The following is a 21,056-nucleotide window of genomic DNA, read 5'->3' as shown; positions in this document are numbered from 1 at the left end:
GTGGGTGATGGCTTAAACTACAGAAATCATTATTGAAGGAGGCATTAACATTACCACTCCTGATACTCAAATGCATTGGTCCATCTAGCATTTTCCAACTAAACTTTCATAACCACTGCTTTTAGATTCCACTGGCTTAATTTTTTTTAAATTTCTTGTCCCCACCTCCTACCCAACTCCTTCATTTTTGAGTGGAGGCTTAAGCTTGGAATCTGGCATCCGTGGAGGTTTGACATTGACAGGTACTGGGGTACAGACCCAAAACTAAAGTTCAGAGAGGCAGATTATTTTATTTTTCAGCTGCCTTGATGGCTGAAGGTGGTAAACATATCACTATGTCACAGCTGAAAAGGAAATTGAACACAAAGAGAAAAATGACACACCCAATAACCCACTATTTACAACATTCAAACATTCAAAAACCATGGACTGTGGCAAGTTTTTTTTTAACCTTGTTTTTTTCATAAAGATTAATAAGAGGTCTAACTGAATTCTTTCTTTCTTTCTTTCTTTTCTCTTTCTTTCTTTTCTTTCTTCTTTCTCTTTTTCTTTCTTCTTTCTTTCTTTCTCTCCTTCTTTCTTTCTTTCTCTTTCTCTCTCTCTCTCTCTGTCTCTCTCTCTCTCTCTGTCTCTCCCTCCCTTCCTTCCTTCTTTCTATTTTAACTTGTATTGTTTAGGTAGATGCTGACATTAAAGTACTATCTTTCTTTACAACATAAACTATTTCCTGAGACATTTATAGAGTGAACCACGTGGAAATGAGAATATACTTCTACTGATAAAAATTACTGTAGTCTATTAACTTCTCCAAAACATCAGCAATTTTGTAAAATTGTTTCATATCTATTTTCCTCTTTGTCTCTAGAAACCAACTTTTAGAGAAGTCTTTCAAAATTTCTCAAGCTACAATGTAGTAGATGGTTTCTAAAATGCTAAAAATACCAAAATAGTACCCTGAATTTCAATGCCGTCTCCTCCACTGTAAGTTCCTAAGCCAATATTGTGACTGTCTTGGAGGGGGCCTGGAGAGTGAGAATGAATGAAGAATGAAGCTTTTCTTTCACAGACAGTGGAACTGACCCCAATCATAATTTTCAGTTCCTAATAAGGAAAATTGCAGCCAATTAAAATGGCCCCAAATTAATTATTGTTGAAGCTAGCTTTTTTGTGTGTGTGTAGTTGGAAACTAAAAGGGTGGTACTAATTTACAAATAACAAGACATAGAGGAAGCTAAAAGAAGCCTAACCTTCCAGGTTGGCACTGAGGGGCAGGACTCAGCCACCCCCTTCTTTAAACAAGACAACAGTGGCTGCCTGTGTGGGTTCCTATGTTTGAGGAGTATGCTTCCTAAAGTCCACTATTGCTCTTTTGTTTTCTTAAGGGGAGCAGATGTATTGGCGCTAACCAGAAAGGAAAAAGGGAGAAAGGAAAATACACTTCTGAGTTAGAGAAAATTTGTGACTTAATATCTCAATGAATGTGAATTAAATTTCATTGGCAACTGCACCCATAGTCATAGTAACTGAAAAAGGAGGAAAATTGCAGTTTCTGGACAGACTGGATTAAAGACATCAGTGACAGCTCCCTGGAAGTTCTAAGAGTTGCTTCCTCAGCTCTCTTCTCTCCCCCACTTTTCCCCACCCCTGGGTTCTCACTCTTTGGCTTATTTGGAGGTGATATTAAGAAACCTATGTCTGAAGAACATGATCTCCAAAAAAAGCATTGCATTGTCTATTTGGAGACCGGCTCAGTTAAGAATCCTGGCTCTCCCACTTGTAAGCTGTGTGGTACGGTCAAATCACTTAACCTCTCTGAGGTTCAGGGTGCTTGTCTGTGAAATAAGGACAGTATGACCCGTCATGTACTTTTTAGGGTGCCTGTGAAGAAATACATAAATGCAAGCTTCTGGATTCTAGTTTTTCCCCAACCACTTTCTAGCTGTGTGATTTCATGAAGTAAGTAACTTATATGTGCCTTATATATGAATTTCCATCTTTGTAAAACTAATACCCATCTGATATAGTCAGCAATAATAATACTCACCTCAATTAGTCTTTTAAAAGTTAAAGGAGATGAAACACCCCTTGAAAATGTTTGGCACATAGTAAGTGCTTAATAAATATTAGCTGTTATTATTAATATTAAATAACAAGAGTAAAGTGCCCAAGACTTGATCGAGAAAGTGTGTTCTATAAATGGTTACACCTATTAGTTTGAAAGCTATAACTGTGTATATTTTGACAAATCTTCAACTATTCAAGCTAAATACACAAATACACATATCTCTAATTTTTTAATGTTTTATTAAAGTATAACACATACAGCAATCTGCAGATGTCTTAAGTATAAATTTAATTATATTTAACCTTGTTTTTAGATGATTTTAAAAAGCTAGACACTTTCTCTAATGAGTCTGTCGATTAGAAGAAAGGAGATTAATTTATTGAATTAAAATATAGTTTTATTCAGATGTATTAGTCTGTTCTCACACTGCCATGAAGAAATACCCAAGACTGGGTAATCTACAGAGGAAACAGGTTTAATCGACTCACAGCTCCACGTGGCTGGGGAGGCCTCAGGAAACTTACAATCATGGCAGAAGGGGAAGCAAACACATCCTGCCTCACATGGCAGCAGAAGAGAGAAGTGCAGAGCAAAGAGGGGGAAAAGCCCCTTATAAAACCGCAGAGCAAAGGGGGGGAAAGAGCCCCTTATAAAACCATCAGATCTCAGGATAAAATCTTATAAAACCATCAGATCTCATAAGAACTCACTCACTATCATGAGAACAGTATGGGGGAAACACCCTCTGCCCAATAATCTAATCACCTCCCATGAGGTCCCTCCCGCAACATTTGGGGATTATGGGAACTATCATTCAAGATGAGATTTGGGTGGGGGCACAGCCAAAGCTTATCATTAGATATTAAAAAAAGAAATGCTACATTAAATATACACATTTTTTAGCAAAAAACAGCATGCATTTTATTAATGTAATTACTCCATCTTAACTACACTCCAAAGATTCCTTGGAATCACCAGGACATTGGCAGTTGCTGCAAAGAAGAGGTGGTGACACTGATAAAAGTGCCTGGGAGTTTGACCTCTTTAGCACCCCTGATCTGGGATCTTAATTTTTTTTCCCTTAATTGATTACCTCTTGCAGGAAGTTCAATAGCTTCTTTGAAAGCACTTGACAGACAGATGTTTTGCATAAACATCTGTTTATGAAGCATAAACACCAACATCTCCTGGCTTTGAAAACCCTTTATTCTGAAAGCTTTGGCTGATTTCACCTGTTACAAACAAATGACAATTCCTCTTAGCAACTCTTCCACCTAGCAGTTGACATGTTTATTTTGACAATGATTGTAAAATTCATTCTGATTTCCAAAACATCCAAATGTGAAAAAACAGGATTCTTAGAATTAAGAAGACATTATTTTAATACTTTGCGACATACATTTGACCAAAAGCAACACAGGTTATCTATGTGTAAAAAAACTGGATATTGTAAGGGTGACTGCCTATTTGGCTTTGTAATTTGGGAACTAAACTGCAATAAGGGGCCAGAGATTTGAAGGGGGGAGTCTTAGATATTTTCTCCAATGCAAATACCACCTCAAGATAACTTATCTTTCATGTAATCATCATCCTTTTGAAGTGCCTACTCTGTGCCAGACACTGTGCTATGTACATTTTCTCTTTTAGGCTTCATAAAAAATTGTATTAAAAAACTGGGGCTCAGAGAAATAATTGTTCCAGCTAACTCATCTGTGTGGAAGATCTTGAATTTGAACCCAAGACTGTCAGACTCCAAAGCTTAGACTCTTTCAAGTACAATAACTTTCTCCCGTTGTGTCACGTGAAGTATATTTAGTGTACTCAGAACACAAAGAATGACTCCAAGGATCTGTTAGGGGCCGGAGGAGGAGTAGTGTCACACATACACACACACACAAACACACACACACCAATGCATTAGGCAGTTGCCCTAATAAAAGAGATTCAGTGATGGCTGAAGGTGCTAAACATGTCGCTATGTAACAGCTGTTTAAAGCATAAAAGCTTCACCGGTATAGACCATCGGAGGGAGGGTTGGATTGAATTAGTAGAAAGTATGAATTTTAAACTCATTTACATAATACAGATTTTCCTAATCCCTTATGGATTTCAAAATGGATTTCCATCTATTCTCTCATTTCATGATCATAACAACCTCCCAAACTAGGCAGAGTTGATATTATCAATCCAATTTTAGGTAAGAAAAATAAGGGCTGAAAAAGTTAAGTGCCTTGCCTATGGTCATAGAACTATTTAGTGACAAACACACATCTTGTTACTCTGCAGGGTGACCTAACAAATTCCTTCTGAACTGCCAGATAATTATTGGATAAGAATGATATGTATTCTTATATTAATTATTCATATATAAGGGATTGCCTGAAGTGCTCAAAGATGTATTTCAAACATTCCTCCTGTAATCTCATTTACATCATTCTTCTGCACTACTTAGCAAGACAGAGTTTGCTAAATGGAAGGAAAATTTCTGCCCAGGTCCCCATCAAGTTATTATAAATTCCAAATTAATAGGGTCTAAATAAACAAGAGCTTATTATGGAGCTAAAAGCTGATAATGTTATTTGTTTCTGATATCTTTTTTCATTTGCCTCAGCCTCAATTTAAGCATTTTATCTACTGCATTTTTTTTCCTGTTTCCTCATTAGAGAAACAGGGCAAGAGAGGCATAGAAGGAAAGAATCACTTGTATGTGAATACAATTAATAACCTGAAATTATAGAAGGGGGTGAAGAGGCATCTTTTTGGTAATTTATCATAATGTTTAGTAACAGCAATTTGCAGTAATGAAATAACTAATCTTTCCTTCTCCTGGGTATGTGTTATATTTTTCGGCTTATGCTTTACTTACTTTTTTTTATTACTCCATTTCCTAAATTATTTAAACTTACAAGGCAACCTCTAACTTATTAATGGTAAGGCAGGCTTCGGAAATGAGAATCATGCAAATAATGATTTCATTTTTTACCCGTGTTTTTAAGGGACTGAGATATCTTTGTCATTTACCTGGGATTTACAGGGACCAAAAAGCTGGACATCATTCACCACTGGGAACAGGTAACCCAGCTTGAACTCTAAGGGCCATGAGGACTCACCTCTATAAAATAAGCTTCATATAAATAGCATCTGGGTGGAAATTTGGTTTTCCTTGTGCTGGGTTTCCTTACGCTTTTAAAAGAATCCTAAGGGATTGAGATGAGTAAGAGACAGGCCGGTAGCATGAAAGGCCCAGTGCTCTTAGAGATACTTCTTCCATGATTAAAAAATAATGAATTTTTTGTTTGCCAGGTGCAAGGAATAAACACTCTTGGATTCTCTCTGTTCTGTCGTTTTCCCTCTAATCTACAAACACACCACAAAGGCTCCTCTGTTCCTTCCCTCAATCACATTTCTCATTCAGACGTCCTTCCTGTTTGGGGTTCTGTTTCTTACTTCCATTTGGTTCTTTGCTTTCCTGTATGGGCTTCTAAGTTTGTTTGTTTTCAGGTTTCTTACATTTTTCTATTTTGAATTGTTCCTTTCTGCATCACAACCTCTATGTACTGCTCCTTTTTCATTTCGCTCCCTGTCTATTGTGTACCTGGTATTATTCATCATCTTTGCTTCTATTTACTTCCCTCCTCCTAGCTCTTATTTCTTTATCTCTGGCCCCTTACTTCCTCTCCTTGATTCTCCTGTTCCCATCTCGATGCCCTTTGACCAAACATCCTCTCCCCATCGCTACTTAAAGCAACTGAAGAAACACTCCCAACTAGAATGGAGTAGTGAGAATAGACTGGAAAGAATAGAAAGGTGGCAGAGTGAACCTGGGAAGGGTGTGCTAGTTGCATTAACTACTTCCCCATCCTCTGCTGGCCTCCTCCTCTGTCTGCATGCGTGCGTCCTTGCAAGGGAAAGACGCAGCACAAAGGAAAGGATCAGGAGGAAATGAAGGTGAGGGCTCAGGGCACAGGGACTGCCAAGCTGTTCTTTAAATACTACCCACTCAGCGTTCGTCTTGGGAACTCTACAGAACAAGGTTGTATTTCAAGCACAGAGCAACTCAAATCAGCTTCCCCGGAACTGGGATCCAGATGCTCTTGAAACAAAACTGCAGGGCAGTATAGTCAGAACGTTTCCACTTGACCCTAGATTGCTCTAAAACTACTCGTGGAAGAGTGCTAACACCGGCCTCCAGAACAAACATCTTACTTCTCATGGTTGCCTATGACCCAGCCTCACCCTTGGCATTTTTTAATTTTAAAAATATTTCCATATATGTTTATAAATAAATCACATGTTTTAGAACCACCTTGCTGTCACTCTGTACTGCACAGGAAAAATCCGTGACAGTTCACAATGTGGAAATTTTGCTTCTCTCTCACCCTTCAGAAAAAAAAAAAAAAAAAGCATAATAAGTATTTAAAAGCCAGATGAACAAGGAGCTCTCAGAATAACAATTTTACCAGCCCAGTCATAGTAAGACCAAATGTACAAACAACTTGACCTTTCCTCCTTTCCCTCCCGTGCCTGGGCGGCTTCTGAAGCACCATGCAGTCCCTGTTTGAGGACAGTGGGACCCAGGAGCGGCTCCTCTCACCTGGAGTGCTGCTGAGGAAGGATGATGACATCGCTGACTCCGTTTTTTCCTTTTTCAGGCAGGTGTCCGTTTGTTCATTTTGAAACTGAGTCCCAGGGAAAACACCTAGCTGTTCACATTCTTCAAAACAACAACAAACCAGCACTTTTGTAAATGGTTTTAATTTTGACAAAAGAAGGCCTTTTTCTAAGGTGACGTGAACGGGGGAAATTACCTCAAATTTATGACATTATTTTCTAGCATCCTGTGTGATGTCAGTCATCCCTCCCCTCCTACCCCGGCCTACTCTTTAGATGAAAGGGAGCGGAGCTGGGTCTTAGGAGTCGCTGAAGGAAGGACAACAAAGGCTAGGTCCTGAGGCTTGTGTCTGACCCTGCACTGATTGAGGGTGGGTCTGAGTGAGGGCTGCACCTTCCTGCTACGGCAGCTTCCAGGTCTCGCTCTGCCCACTCAGGGCTGCCGTCATGTGGGGACTTCTTGGTCCACGTGGGTCCTCTCTTCAACAATATCTGCTTATTTTTGTTTTTATTTCCTGGCTTCCAACAGATAACAAAAGGATGAGCTAAAAACCGATTCCATATAATAGAATGATACACACACACAGAGTTAGGAGTAAATTATATTCCGACAAATATAAGCAAAAATTATGTGCTGGGGCTCTAGTTTTAGTGCTCATTTTTACTCTCTAAAGAAGTTTTGAAGTATAACAAAAATAAAACACAAGAAAAAAATCCACGGCCAGATGGGGTCCAGGTACTGATATTCCTGAGTTTTTCTGTTTCTGTTGGTTTGAGACGTCACTGGCCTCTGATTCGTACCTTCTAGGGCTGGTGTAGAAGAGTCACTGCCTGGCTGCTGGGCTTAGGACTCTCATCCCCTTTGAGGAGCTGTGTCACTGTCTTTGTCTCTACTGGGTGACAGATAGGGCTTGAGCAGCTGTGCACAGTGTTAGCTCCTGCACAGAGCCAAGCACTGGTCTAGCTTAGGATAGCACCCTCCCTGCTGGCATGGGCAGGGCTCTGGGCCTCTCCCCTCCGCCCTGCCGCTGAAGGAGGGGTTTAACTGGCTTTCTGCACTCTGCAGGAAGGGAACCACCTCCAGGCTGAGGGTTTTCAGTAAAAACCCACCCCTGCAATGGAGAAGCCATGAGCTCCTGTTATGTATGTCGTCACACAAACATCCCGCACTGAAATCAGCTGAGGTTTTACTCTTACTCCACTTTCTGACCATTGTTAAGAACTGTGACTTTAGTAGATGTATTAGTTCCCTAGGACTGCCATAAGAAAGTCTCACAAAATGGGTGCAGACCTATGTGATAAAAATGTATTGTCTCACAGTTCTGGAGACCAGAGGTCCAAAATGAAGATGTTGTCACAGCCACGTTCCCGCCGAAGGTGCTGGGGAGGAGGCCATTAGACCCCCCTAGCTTCCTGCAGCCTCAGGGGCTCCTGGGCTTAGCTGCCTCCCTCAAATCCTCCTTCTTCACATGGCCTTCTTCCTGTTTCTTTGTATCTTCTTCCTTCTGTGTGAGTCTGTCTTTGTATCCAAATTTTCCCTTTTCGTAAGGACACCAGTCTTATTGGAGTAGGGCCCATCCTAATGACCTCACTTGAACTCGGTTAAATGTGCAAAGACCCTGTTTCCAAATAAGACCACATTCTGAGGTATGGGAGTTAGGACTGATGGGAGTTAGGACTGCAATATATCCTTTTTGGGGGAACACAATTCTGCAAATAACCATCATCTACCTTGTCATTTAAATATTTTCTCAACTTAACAAAAAATTATCTTGTTTTGTGAATCAGCACAAGGAATGTTTGGTAACTAGAGTAATAATGAATGAGATTCAAACAAATGGCAAAGAAGAACTGCTTGAGAGGTTAATAGTGGCCTGAGCTTTAGGAACTTCTGCTCAGCCACTTCCCCTGGTGTGTGTCTGCTCAAGCCTCTTCTTCTGGTTTCCCCAGCAAACTGGGAATCTGATTTATACTTTCAACTGAGATTTCAGCACTGGGACACATCTGAGCTGCCTTTAAAAAATTGATTTTATTTTATTTTATTTTTTACTGTAATAGTGGCTCTCACCAGTAACAACAACAACAAAAAAAACCCAACAACTTTTCATTATCTATGAAGGAGGGGAGATGCTGGAGCATGTATTAATATGTCAATAGGGATACATTTGTTGCCCAGTAGTATTCACACCTATTATTGTACAGTCATGATGTAAACCTTAAAGTGACATTTAAGGGTTTTTGAGATCTTGATATGAAAAGTAATTGAAAAGAATTTTTAGAATTGGGTTGTCATAGCAGTTTCTTTTTTTTTTTTTTTTTTTTGAGACGGAGTCTCGCTCTGTCGCCCAGGCTGGAGTGCAGTGGCGCGATCTCGGCTCACTGCAAGCTCCGCCTCCCGGGTTCACGCCATTCTCCTGCCTCAGCCTCCCGAGTAGCTGGGACTACAGGCACCTGCCACCACGCCCGGCTAATTTTTTGTATTTTTAGTAGAGACGGGGTTTCACCGTGTTAGCCAGGATGGTCTCGATCTCCTGACCTCGTGATCCGCCCGCCTCGGCCCCCCAAAGTGCTGGGATTACAGGCGTGAGCCACCGCGCCCGGCCAGCAGTTTCTTAATAATGTCGGAGCGTATTAGGGTTAATGAACATCTTGGGTTCTCCTGATTTCCTAGGCAATATTCATAACGAACCCACGATTCAAGCCTTACCCTCCAGGGCTTACGCATTGCTTAATCATCTTTCATTTTCATAGCATACCTTCTGCTCCCACAGATTCTCATAGCAGCCTCTACGGTTAAGAGAAATAGATATGATGAGCAAATGAGAAAAATGAGGAGGCTCAAAGAGTGGAGGGACCTCACAGATGGTCCCTGGGAGTGCCAGGGCCTGTTTCTCCAGCCCAGGGTTCCTTTCATTTCAGCTGGCTGCTGGCTCCTCTTACCAATCCATGGTGCTCTAAAAGGTGCTGATTTCATTTACAGGTTAGGCTAGTTTTCAGTGTCCTGTTTGAACATTCTGTTTTTGATTTTTATTTTCAAGTTTTTCTAGTTGGGTAAGACTCGGGTAGGTAAACTGGATCCTAGGAGAGATTTCTTACCTATCCCACTCTGAACTGTAAAGGCTTCCCTGTAGGTGGGATTTAAAAGGGAAATGAGTGAGAGTAAGCCTGGAAGAGCCAGGTGAGAGATGGAGACCGAGCCTTGTTTTTGCATAGGGCAGACAGGAGTGCTTCATGCAAATGGGAGCATGCACGGGAGGGCTGGGTAGTCTTTCTTCTCTGAGTTTTCCTCCCAATCAGAAAAATTTATGTTTTCCTTTCTGATAATTTACTAGCAGTGTAGAAAATTAGCTCAGTCATTTTTTTTTTTAATTGAAACAGGGTTTCACTATGTTGCCCAGGCTGGCCTCGAACTCCTGAGCTCAAGCGATCCACCTGCCTCAGCCTCCCAAAGGGCTGGGATTAATAAAGAACTGGTTAAATAACGGTGTAGTCACGTAAGGGAATACTACGCATCTGTTAAAAAGAATTAGGTATGTCTCGATTCTTTAAAATTTTAAGATGTATTACATAAACAAACCAAGGAACAGAGCAGAATAAAAGTTATCTGTGTGTACATATTCAGAGATATTAGTAATTATGTTTTCTGGAAGGACATATGATAAACTATTACGGGAGTGACAGTGATTACTTCAAGAAAAGAACTAGAAGTAAATGATGGAAGATTTCTACTTTTCATTTTATACCTGAGCCACAGTGCCCAGCCCACTATACAAAATTAATGAGTACAGAGAAAGTAAATGTTTCTGCAATCTCAACACTTTTCCACCTCTGTCTAAGGGTCAGCTGCAATGAGAGTTTAGATATATCCTTCCAGGCTTTTCTTGTTTTGTTTTGTTTTGTTTTGTTTTGTTTTGTTTTGTTTTGTTTTGAGACAGAGTCTTGCTCTGTCACCCAGGCTGGAGTTCAGTGGCTCAATCTCGGCCCACTGTAATCTCTGCCTCCTGGGTCCAAGCGATTCTCATGCCTCAGCCTCCCGAATAGCTGGAATTACAGGCACATGCCACCATGCCAGGCTAATATTTGTATTTTCAGTAGAGACAGGGTTTCACCATGTTAGCCAGGCTGGTCTCGAACTCCTGACCTCAAGTGATCCACCTGCCTTGGCCTCCCAAAGTGCTGGGATTACAGGCGTGAGCCACCGCACCCAGCCCTTCCAGGTTTTTTAATACAAACATTATATTTGTCTACATCTATATTTATATATAAATGAAATCGTTAACATAATGGAATGTCATAACACTCTGGTCATTCTGCACCAGATCTTTCTCTTTTTATATTGTAGATATTTTCCATGTCAACTAACTACAAAGATGTAACCTATTTTTCTTTTTTATAAAAACATTTCACATTTTAAAATAAAGCAGTCCTTGCACAGAATCAAATCATACAGAAAGGTTTAAAATGAAAAGTAGAAATCTTCCACCATTTACTTCTAGTTCTTTTCTTGAAGTAATCACTGTAACTCCCGTAATAGTTTATCATATGTCCTTCCAGAAAACATAATTACTAATATCTCTGAATATGAACTCACAGATAACTTTTATTCTGCTCTGTCCCTTGGTTTGTTTATGTAATACATCTTAAAATTTTAAAGAATCGAGACATACCTAATTCTTTTTAATGGATGTGTAGTATTCCCTTATGTGACTACACCATTATTTAACCAGTTGTCTATTAATGGACATTTTATTTTAAACTTTTGTGCTAGAACAAACATCCTTATATATACATCTCTGTATACAGAATAAAACTTTGGTGTTCATTCCTCCATACTCTCGTCAGCCGTGGGCACAAGCACTTTATTTATGTTGTACAAAAACCTTTGCCAATTTGATAGGTGATACTTTGTTTTAACTTTCATTTATGTGATTATTAAGAAATCTATTTTATATGATTTGTTGCCTTGAATTGCCTGTTCATGACTTTCGCCTGTGTGTCTATTGCAATGTTTATCTTTTTCTTATTGATTTATAAAAAAAGTTTGTATTCTTATGTGAGAGCATGGACACACAACTCCAGTTCTGTAACTAAGATTTTAAAAAGCAATTACGTTTTACATTTTCCTAATTCTATAATAAACTCCACAGAGACCAGGCTAAAGTTTATATTTGTTAAAGCAAATTTTCCTAGTGAAGTGTAAATCTCGTAAAAACTTGAAAAAAGAAAGACACAGGAGAAAAGAATAACTTGTTTTCTAGTGTCCCTTACCATCTGAGGAGCACTTTTAGGGAGATGGTGAATTTGCTAAGGAAATCATTCTTAACAATTTAATACACATTCCTCATTAGCAACTCTGTCATCCAATTTTAAACTTAAGCTAGACTTAAATAAAAGTAATAAAAACTGTGTTTTAATAATTCCAAATGACTTTCACTCATTCTGACCAATTCCTCCTCAGTCCAAATTACTGAAGTTTTCTCATAATACTTAAACAAGCCCATTTTCAGAACCAGTGACATCATGATGATCAAGACTGCATTCATTTTCTCCTTCACACATTTTCCTACTGGATGAGTGGCTTCCTTGTTTAAACATGGAATTCACTCATCATAAAATGGATTTCATCCAGACACGAAATATGAAAAAATGAACTCATAGGAAATGACCCTTGAAATTCACACCACCCTCAAGGCTTGAAAGGATTTTCTATTTCATCAACTTTAGATGAGCCATAATAATAAAACATAAAATACTGCCTGTAATCCCAGCACTTTGGGAAGCTGAGGCGTGTGGATCATGAGGTCAGGAGATCGAGACCATCCTGGCTAACACGGTGAAACCCCGTCTCTACTAAAAATACAAAAAATTAGCCAGGCTGGTGTCGGGCACCTGTAGTCCCAGCTACTCAGGAGGCTGAGGCAGGAGAATGGCGTGAACCCAGGAGGCAGAGCTTGCAGTGAGCCGAGATTGCGCCACTGCACTCCAGCCTGGGCGACAGAGTGAGACTGTGTCTCAAAAAAAAAAAAAAAAAAAACCATAAAATACTACACAAAGATTAGAAAATCAGAAGTCACATAACTCATAGTTCTTCCCAAGTCTTGTTTTTCTTAAGCTAACTCATTCTCAGCACTTACAGCCAGTCCAGCCAGCCTCCATTCACTGTGTTTCCAGAACATGCTATGCATGCCTCTTTTATCATTTACTATACAGTTTTGGAATTATATGGGATGTATCTTCTCCCAAACTTGATTGCTAACTCTGCAGGTCAAAGACCACATCTTGTTTATCTTTGTGAACCTGCTAGATCTCACAATAACTGGTATTTAGTGGGCTCTCAGTAATTGCTTGTTTTGTTGTGTTATTATTACTATTTTGAACTATATGGAGAATCATTTGGGCCCCGTTTTTGCTCCCCTGTGACAAAGACAGCTGATTGCCACTTAGCCACACTGCCCCTTCTCACCCTTCTCCACCTTGCTTGTGGAGCCTTGATTTTGTTTGAAGGTCATGTGCTCAGGAAACAACTCCCCTTGCCAGGCTGGGTGGGGACATGAAGGGTTATTAGTCCAGGCAGTCTTGGCAGGCTCATGCCCTTGGCCTGTGGCCCAATCTTAGCCAAGGAGGTCTGACTGTAAGCCACCTAGGGAGCTTTGGGAAAAGGCTTTTCTTATAGTACAGAGAGACTCATAGGAGGAGACCCTCTCTTTTCACTGGGCATTGTTGTATTGCATGGGATGTCTGGAACTGTTGCAGACAGACATCTTGCAACATGAGTGGGGGACATCCCCAACCTACTAGAAACTGTAGAGAGAGCCTTGGTTGTTTGCTTGGGCTGGAGCCACTCTGCCTGAGACTTCCATTTTGAGAGATAATTAATCCTTAGTTGAATCCTATACACTTTAATAAAGATGGGGGAAACCCAGAGAAGATTCAGGAGTCCTCTACTAGGAGGAACAGAATGAAACTAGAAAGTTAAAAGGAATCAGAGGTTGCTGGGTGCAGTGGTTCATGCTTGTAATCCCAGCACTTTGGGAAGCTGAGCAGGGAGGATCACTTGAGTCCAGGAGTTAGACAGTAGCCTGGGCAACATAGCTAGACTCCGTCTCTACCAAAAATTTTTTTTAATAAATAAAAAAATTAGCCTGGCGTGGTGGCATGTGTCTCTAGTACCAGCTACTTGGGAGGCTGAAGTGGGAGGATTGCTTGAACTGGGGAGGTGAAGGCTGCAGTATTCTTATGACTTATCTAAAGCTGATGAAACAGAAAATCATGCCACTACACTCAGCTTGGGTAACAGAATGAGACTCTGTCAAAAAAAAAAAAAAAAAAAAAGGAATCAGAAGTTTTACCTTACGGTAGAGAAGCCTATGAAAGAACTTGGTTGCTGTTTCCAAGCTCCTGGAGAGTTTTATGGGAGGGGTGTCAAACTGTTATTCTACAAGACTTCTGAAGACCTAAGTGAAAGAGGAAATGGAATTAAAGCAGGAGAGACTCTGGCTGGATTTAAGGGAGAATTTGCCTGTAAGAATGCTCAAATACTGATATGGGCTACTGAGAGTAAGAGTCTGTCCCTTTGGAAGAGGACAAGAAAGGGCAAGTGTGAGTCCTTGAGCAGTTTATTATTCACCTACTTAATGGCAATGGTACTAACCAAATGGCTACTTGAAGTTTGTAATCTTATGTTCATCTGGAGAAGAGAAGCTACTGAAACTTAAGTAGATGAGGAATCAGCTACAGACTTCCGAAAGTATCCATTAGGTGATAAGTTTGATCTGACAAAGCTGGAAATACCTGTTTTAGCTCTATCAGGCCAAAATGTCAGCCCAACATCCAGTTTATAATTTACGCTAAACACACACTACTTTATCAGAGCTCTGTGATTAGTCACATACCCAGAACAAGGACACTGTATGAGAAATGTAGCCTCAGGGAAGGTGGCTGATTATGTCTGGGGTGCTTATTAGTAGGGCTGATCCTAATCTGAATCCACTTTTCCATGGAAGAATGTAAAAATGAGTATTGGATATGGTCAGTCTCTCTGACCATGTAAAAGCTCTATACAAGGTATGCAAGTCACCAGGCAGCCCGGTGTGGAGCAGCTCTGCTTCATGGCCACTGGTTCCTGTGTCCAAGACCTGGATTAAAGGAACAACTCAAATGCTACTGCAAGTTGATTTTACCAGCTGTGAAATTATGGCACTGGGTCATCATTAACCTGAGTGATAACTACCTCTCCTCTTACAACCAAATTTTTTCTTTTTAATTTATGTTACAACCAATTTTATATAAAAACCATTATTAGCAAGACTTTCTCATTAACCCCAGAGGCTAATATAAATACAATAAAGGCATCTTAAAACCTCTGAAAAGTTCCATTCTTGTTGATTTGATTAAGCATACACCACTTCATTTGATTGAGATTGCCCGTGGGACATTTCTTTTCCTTCTAAAATTTGTAGGACAGCTCTTAAAATGCAGCCCCCACATATTGAAACATAGCACTCTTTCACAAATCAACAAGTCCTCTTTTAGCCACACCAGGCACATTTCTATCACAGCGTTTACTGAACAGTGTGAGCTGGCCCTCTCCAGTCCCCTGCTCCTCTTCTTTAGCATGGATTCTCCAGCTCCTGTCCTCTCTTTTTCTTTCGCCTTGTTTCTGAGAATCCCACCTGATTCTCTGGAGCACAAGGGCACAGGCTCCCTGCCCTGACAGCACAAAGAGCCTTGAAACACCTCTCCACATTAGAGGCACTCAAAAGACCTTCTCCACATTGGATGAGCAACCTTAGGGAAGCTGAGTCTGGGGTCTCAGGCTGCCCATGCCTTCCCTTTACAACCCCCGCCCCCTACCTGCTTTGAGGCTTGCAGTGGGCAGTGGGGAAGCCTGTGGATTTAGGTGGTGCCAGTGAGGCTGTGTTATTTGGGTCCTCATTCCTTCCCTTAGCTCATGAGGTCGCAGCATAGAACAACCCTGTAAGTTGGATGCTGGCACCTCAAGTCTTGGCTTAGAAGTCACCCAGACCTCATAACAGACCCTATGCTGCCACCTAATACCAGTGTGTCTTTGAGCAAGGTATTTCATCTCTAAGTGACTGTTTCCTATAAAATAAGAGTAAAAATACCTACTTCCCACATTGTTATAAGGGTTAAATGCCAGACATAAAGAAAGCATCTATACATTACTCAGTAACATTATAGAGAAGTAAATGCCCCCTTTTTATAGCAATAATTGACTTCTAAATACCTGTATTCAGAAAATAGCAAAAGAAAGCATTTGCCACCTGCACCCAAGTTATTTCCTTTAAAAGCACCTGGGACCTGGCAAAATAGCTGCAGAGCCAAAGGCCTTCATCCTGAGGTGACTGGAGAATGGACTACCTTTTCCTAGAGCGATAGAGGCTCAGCAACATTGCATGTAGCACATGCCTCCCTGGGACACCAGGAAGGTTAATGAGATAACATCTAGATGGAAAGTGCTGAATGTGCCAAATATTACCAGGTTGCAATTTCTGGAGCAAGCTCTCCTTTGTCGAGCACACGGGGCTCTGAAAGAGAAGGTATAGCAGGTGAGGTATAATTTAGGAGAGTCAAACATACCCTCTCCCCAGGCATACCTCAGCTTTTCAGCAATATTGAGAGCCCCAGAAAAGGAAAGAGCTTCATGTCTCTACTGCTTTGCCTGCAGTTCAACTGGTTAAATTCCTGGATTTAGAATGCTATCCTGCCACGTTTCTGCAGAGTATCCTAGAGGCCACTGACTACACAGCTGTGAGGGACCTGCTCACCAGCCCTGTGACCTGGGGTGAACTGGGGCACCTGGCTGAGTCTCGGTTTCCTTGCCTGGAAAATAGAGATGACAGCTCCTAACTATTTCACACAGTTGTGAGGCTACAAAGCAAAAGTGCTTTGACAATTGTAATGCATATTAATGTGAACGATTAGATGCCACTTTCTATTCCCTCCTGTCTTATCTGTCTTATCTGACCATAACTGATGCTAAGTTTCTGACTCTACTCACATGCTACCAAATATGTATGGTACACCGCAAAGTCTAGTGGAATTTCCACAAGGCTGAATTATGGATTAGGCGCAGTGAGGAAAGGTGGTACTATTGGTTCTATTCTTAAGGACCAGTTTGTCCATGGCCCAGTGCTTACAGTTTGTGGATCCATTAAGCCATGCTGTTATATAGAAATAGTATTAGCTTTGTTTATGTCGCACTTGGAACTTTTCAAAACACTTCCACATGCTATTATCCCAGTCCCATTTAGTGTCTATCTCTAGGTCTCTGTTTCTCCCAGATCAGTCTTTTGGTATAACAGCTTTTCTCCTTGCTGTTTTCCAGCATATTGTTCCTGGAAGAGGCAAAAGCCTAGGGCTTCAAGATGCCGGGGCTTTAAGAAACCAAGGCATGACCTCAAGTGATTTGCCGGAGGTGGCCTCGGTGGCAGCAGTCATTGAAGAAAGGAAGACAGCTGCCCAGCCAGTCTGACAGACCATACACAGACAGCCCTGTTCACAGGGAGGTAAGTGTCTCTGCACAACCCGCGGCCACCACGGCGGCTTCAGGAAAGGCTCCCACATTCCCAGAGCCTCTGCTGCGGCTCACTGACAAATCAGCCCCTCAATAATCTTATTGTATGTTTTCAAAATAATTCTCAGTAATGCCCCAAGAATGTCTGAACTTCTGTGTGAACTCGCTAGTTTGCATATTTTTCAGCTTATTAGCGAGAACTCCGATAGACAAAGCCCATGACCTTGCTTTTCCACGGACCTCTTGGCCGGGGTGCAAGGGCAGCCTCTCCTGCTGGTGAACTTGCAGTGCCCTCCTGTCTTGTTCTGATTCTCTCTCACACTGATTCCAGCCTCTTTCTTCCCTTGCCCTCTTCATAGCCAACATTAAGAAATAAATCACTTGACTTTGATGATGGTTTACTCATTAGAGAAGGCCACAAGATTCAGGTTCTGAATTTTCATGAAGCAAGATTCTGGAAAAAGAAAGAGAGTGCAGAGATAGTGTTGCCTTTGATTACCTGTTTACCCCAAACCCAGCGCCGCTGGGAAGGGAGGACTCAGCTTCTGATTTCAGGATGACTGCATGCGACCACAGTTCTAATACAGCTTGTCATTCATAAATCCCTGAGACATCACAGGCCCAGCCAGATGTGATGTGGCCTGGCCTAATCCTTCAATGCAATGCAAGGGAGGGTGGAAGTTAAACCTTAATTAAAAACAAGATCTGATACTGCAAAATTACCGTTTTAAAAATGCTTTGAATGGGCTTATTTGGGAGTGTATTCAAGTGTATGGATACGCAGACTCAGGAGACACTGTTTTCTTGTTTCCTTAAATGCAGCTAATTATATAGAATCATAAAGAAGATAAATATCAGACTTCATAGCTATAGGGTAAGCTTCTCTCCAATACGTCTACCCAGGTTTTAGCTATATATAGCTTGATAAATTTTGATTGCATTTGCCAGTTCTTCTCTGTGGATTTCCAGTTACATGTAAAATAACCTCAGAGTTAGGGTCCTGCAACAAAGACAAGGGGCCAATTTTTTGCTTAAGTCATCCAGTTCCCAATTTTTGCTTAAGTCATCCAGTCACTTCTATATTTATTCTTTTTTTTCCCCAAGAAACCTTCCGTGATTACTATCAAAGTTGAGTCTTTTCCCCAAAGCTCCTATTAGATCTATGTAAGATCTTATAAACTGTCTTGGTTTCCCTTTTATACTTTTCAATTGCTTCCCTGTTCAACCTTATGAATAATTTTTACCAGTTTTTTTATTTTTTTAAGAGACAAGGTCTCACTCTGTTGCCCAGGCTAGATTTCAGCAGCGCAGTCATAGCTCACTGCAGCCTTAAACTCCTGGGCTCAAGCAATCATCCTGCCTCAACCTTCTAAGTAGCTGGGACCACAGGTGTGCATCACCATATCCCGCTAATTTGTTAAAAAAAATATTTTGTAGAGACCAGGTCTCCCTTTGTTACTCAGGCTGGTCTCGAACTCCTGGCTTCAAGCAATCCCCACACCTAACTTTCCCAAATTACTGGACTTACAGGCATGAGACATAAGCCACTTCGCCTATCTTCTTTTTCTTCTTCTTCTTCTTCCTCTTCTTCTTCTTCTTCTTCCTCTTCTTCTTCTTCTTCTTTTCTTCTTCTTCCTTCTTCATTTTTGACTGTGCCTAATCTGTTTAACCATTCTATTAGAATTTTTATTTCAATTACAACTTTTTTTATTCTATAAATTCTATTTGTTTTGAAATTTGTAAGATTATTAGTTTTAGTCCTTTCTCCTTATATAATTTTAATCCCCTCTGTTATTACTTTTTGCCAATTAAACTCACATATTTCATTTGGGACATAGGCGTGGGCAAAGATTTCATGACGAAACATCAAAAGCAATTGCAACAAAAGCAAAAATTGACAAATATGATTTAATTAAACAAAAGAGCTTCTGCACAGCAAAAGAAACCATCATCAGAGTGAACAGACACAACCTATAGAACGGGAGAACACTTTTGCAATCTATCCATCTGACAAAGGTCTAATATCCAGAGTCTACAAGGAACTTAAACAAATTTACAAGAAAAAAACAAACTACCCCATTAAACAGTGGGCAAAAAACATGAACAGACACTTCTCAAAAGAAGACATTTATGCATCCAAAAAACACGATAAAAAGCTCAGCGTCACTGATCATTAGAGAAACGCAAATCAAAACAACGAGATACCAGTCAGAATGGCAACTATTAAAAAGTCAAGAGGCCAAGTGCAGTGGCTAATGCCTGTAATCCCAACACTTTGAGAGGCCGAGGTGAGCAGATCACTTGAGGTCAGGAGTTCAAGACCAGCCTGGCCAATGTGGTAAAACCCTGTGTCCACTAAAAATGCAAAAATTAGCTGGGCATGGTGGTGCATGCCTGTGGTCCTAGCTACTTGGGACCTGCTGAGGCAGGAGAATCACTTGAACTCAGGAGGCAGAGGTTGCAGCGAGTTGAGATTGTGCCACTACACTCCAACCTGGGTGACAGAGTGAAACTCTTGTCTCAATAAATAAATAAGTAAATAAATAAAAATAAAAAGTAAAGAAACAACAGATGCTGGCAAGGCTATGGAGAAATGGGAACGCTTTCTATACTGTTGTTGCAAATATACACTAGTTCAACCATTGTGGAAGACAGTGTGATGATTCCTCAAAGACCTAGAACCAGAAATACCATTTGACCCAGCAATCCCATTACTGGGTATATAACCAAAGGAATAGAAATCATTCTACTAAAAGATACATGCATGCGTGTGTTCATTGCAGCACTATTCACAATAGCAGACATGGAACCAACCTAAATGCCCATCAATAATAGACTGGATAAAGAAAATGTGGTGCATATACACCATGGAATTCTATGCAACCATAAAAAGGAATGTGATCATGTTCTTTGCAGGGACATGGATGAAGCTGAAAGCCATTATTCTCAGCAAACTAACACAGGAACAAAAAAACAAACACCACATGTTCTCACTTATAAGTGGGAGCTGAACAATGAGAACACATGGACACAGGGAGGGGAACAACATACACTGCGGCCTATCGGGGGGGCTGGGAGAGGGAGAGCATCAGGATAAATAGCTAATGCATGCGGGCCTTAATACGTAGGTGATGGGTTGATAGGTGCAGCAAACCACCATGGCACATGTTTACCTATGTAACAAGCCTGCACATCCTGCACATGTATCCTGGAACTTAAAATCAAAAAATAAAATAAAAAAACGTGATTATGAAAAAATGTCTCACATATTTTATGTGTGATGGTAATTATAATATCTAATATCATTATGGGTTTGATTCTTCTATTTGGTTTCTTGGCTATCCCCCATGGTGTCTTGATTGCTTGTGTGTCTTATGAGTTTTGAAGGTTGGACCATAACCTTTGGTGCTCAATTGTGGGAATTTTTTGAGGCCTGATTTGAAAGTGGATTCCTCCAGAGAAGATTGTGTTTGTTTCTGCCAGGTACCTGAAAGCAACTAAAACTTGAAACCAACTTAAAATAAGCATTTCAGCTTGAGGTGTTTTTGGTCCTCACAGATAGTATACATTTTGGACCTCAAGTTTCTGTGCAGGTTTGCTTGTGGTTATACATTTTCAGGGAAGACTTTTTTTCCTTTCCACTCAGCACAATGGTCAAGACAAGCAAGTTTCCTTGCTATCTCTATCTATGGAGTGGGCTTATCTCTTGTTCACCCTCACACTGAAGGTGCTTCCTTTTGGGGTCCTGGCTTTACATGGGGATCTCGTATTAGACTTCACCGTGGTTGGGCCCTGGGGTTGTTCTCCTGTCCCTTTCACCCCATGCCAACATCAAAACCTAAG

General features: G+C 40.7%; 1 long non-coding RNA gene across 1 annotated transcript; it reads left to right on the top strand.

The window, feature by feature from the left end:
- The first annotated feature begins 4,984 nt into the window (after positions 1-4,984).
- On the top strand, positions 4,985-19,357 carry LINC02057 (long intergenic non-protein coding RNA 2057). Its single transcript, NR_146624.1, has 3 exons — positions 4,985-5,137; positions 17,025-17,205; positions 19,052-19,357. It is a non-coding gene; the product is annotated as a long intergenic non-protein coding RNA 2057 (long non-coding RNA).
- The last annotated feature ends 1,699 nt before the right edge of the window (positions 19,358-21,056 follow it).

This window comes from Homo sapiens, chromosome 5 (assembly GCF_000001405.40).
Source record: "Homo sapiens chromosome 5, GRCh38.p14 Primary Assembly".
NCBI lineage: Eukaryota > Metazoa > Chordata > Mammalia > Primates > Hominidae > Homo > Homo sapiens.
This window is presented reverse-complemented; position numbering and strand designations above follow the sequence as displayed.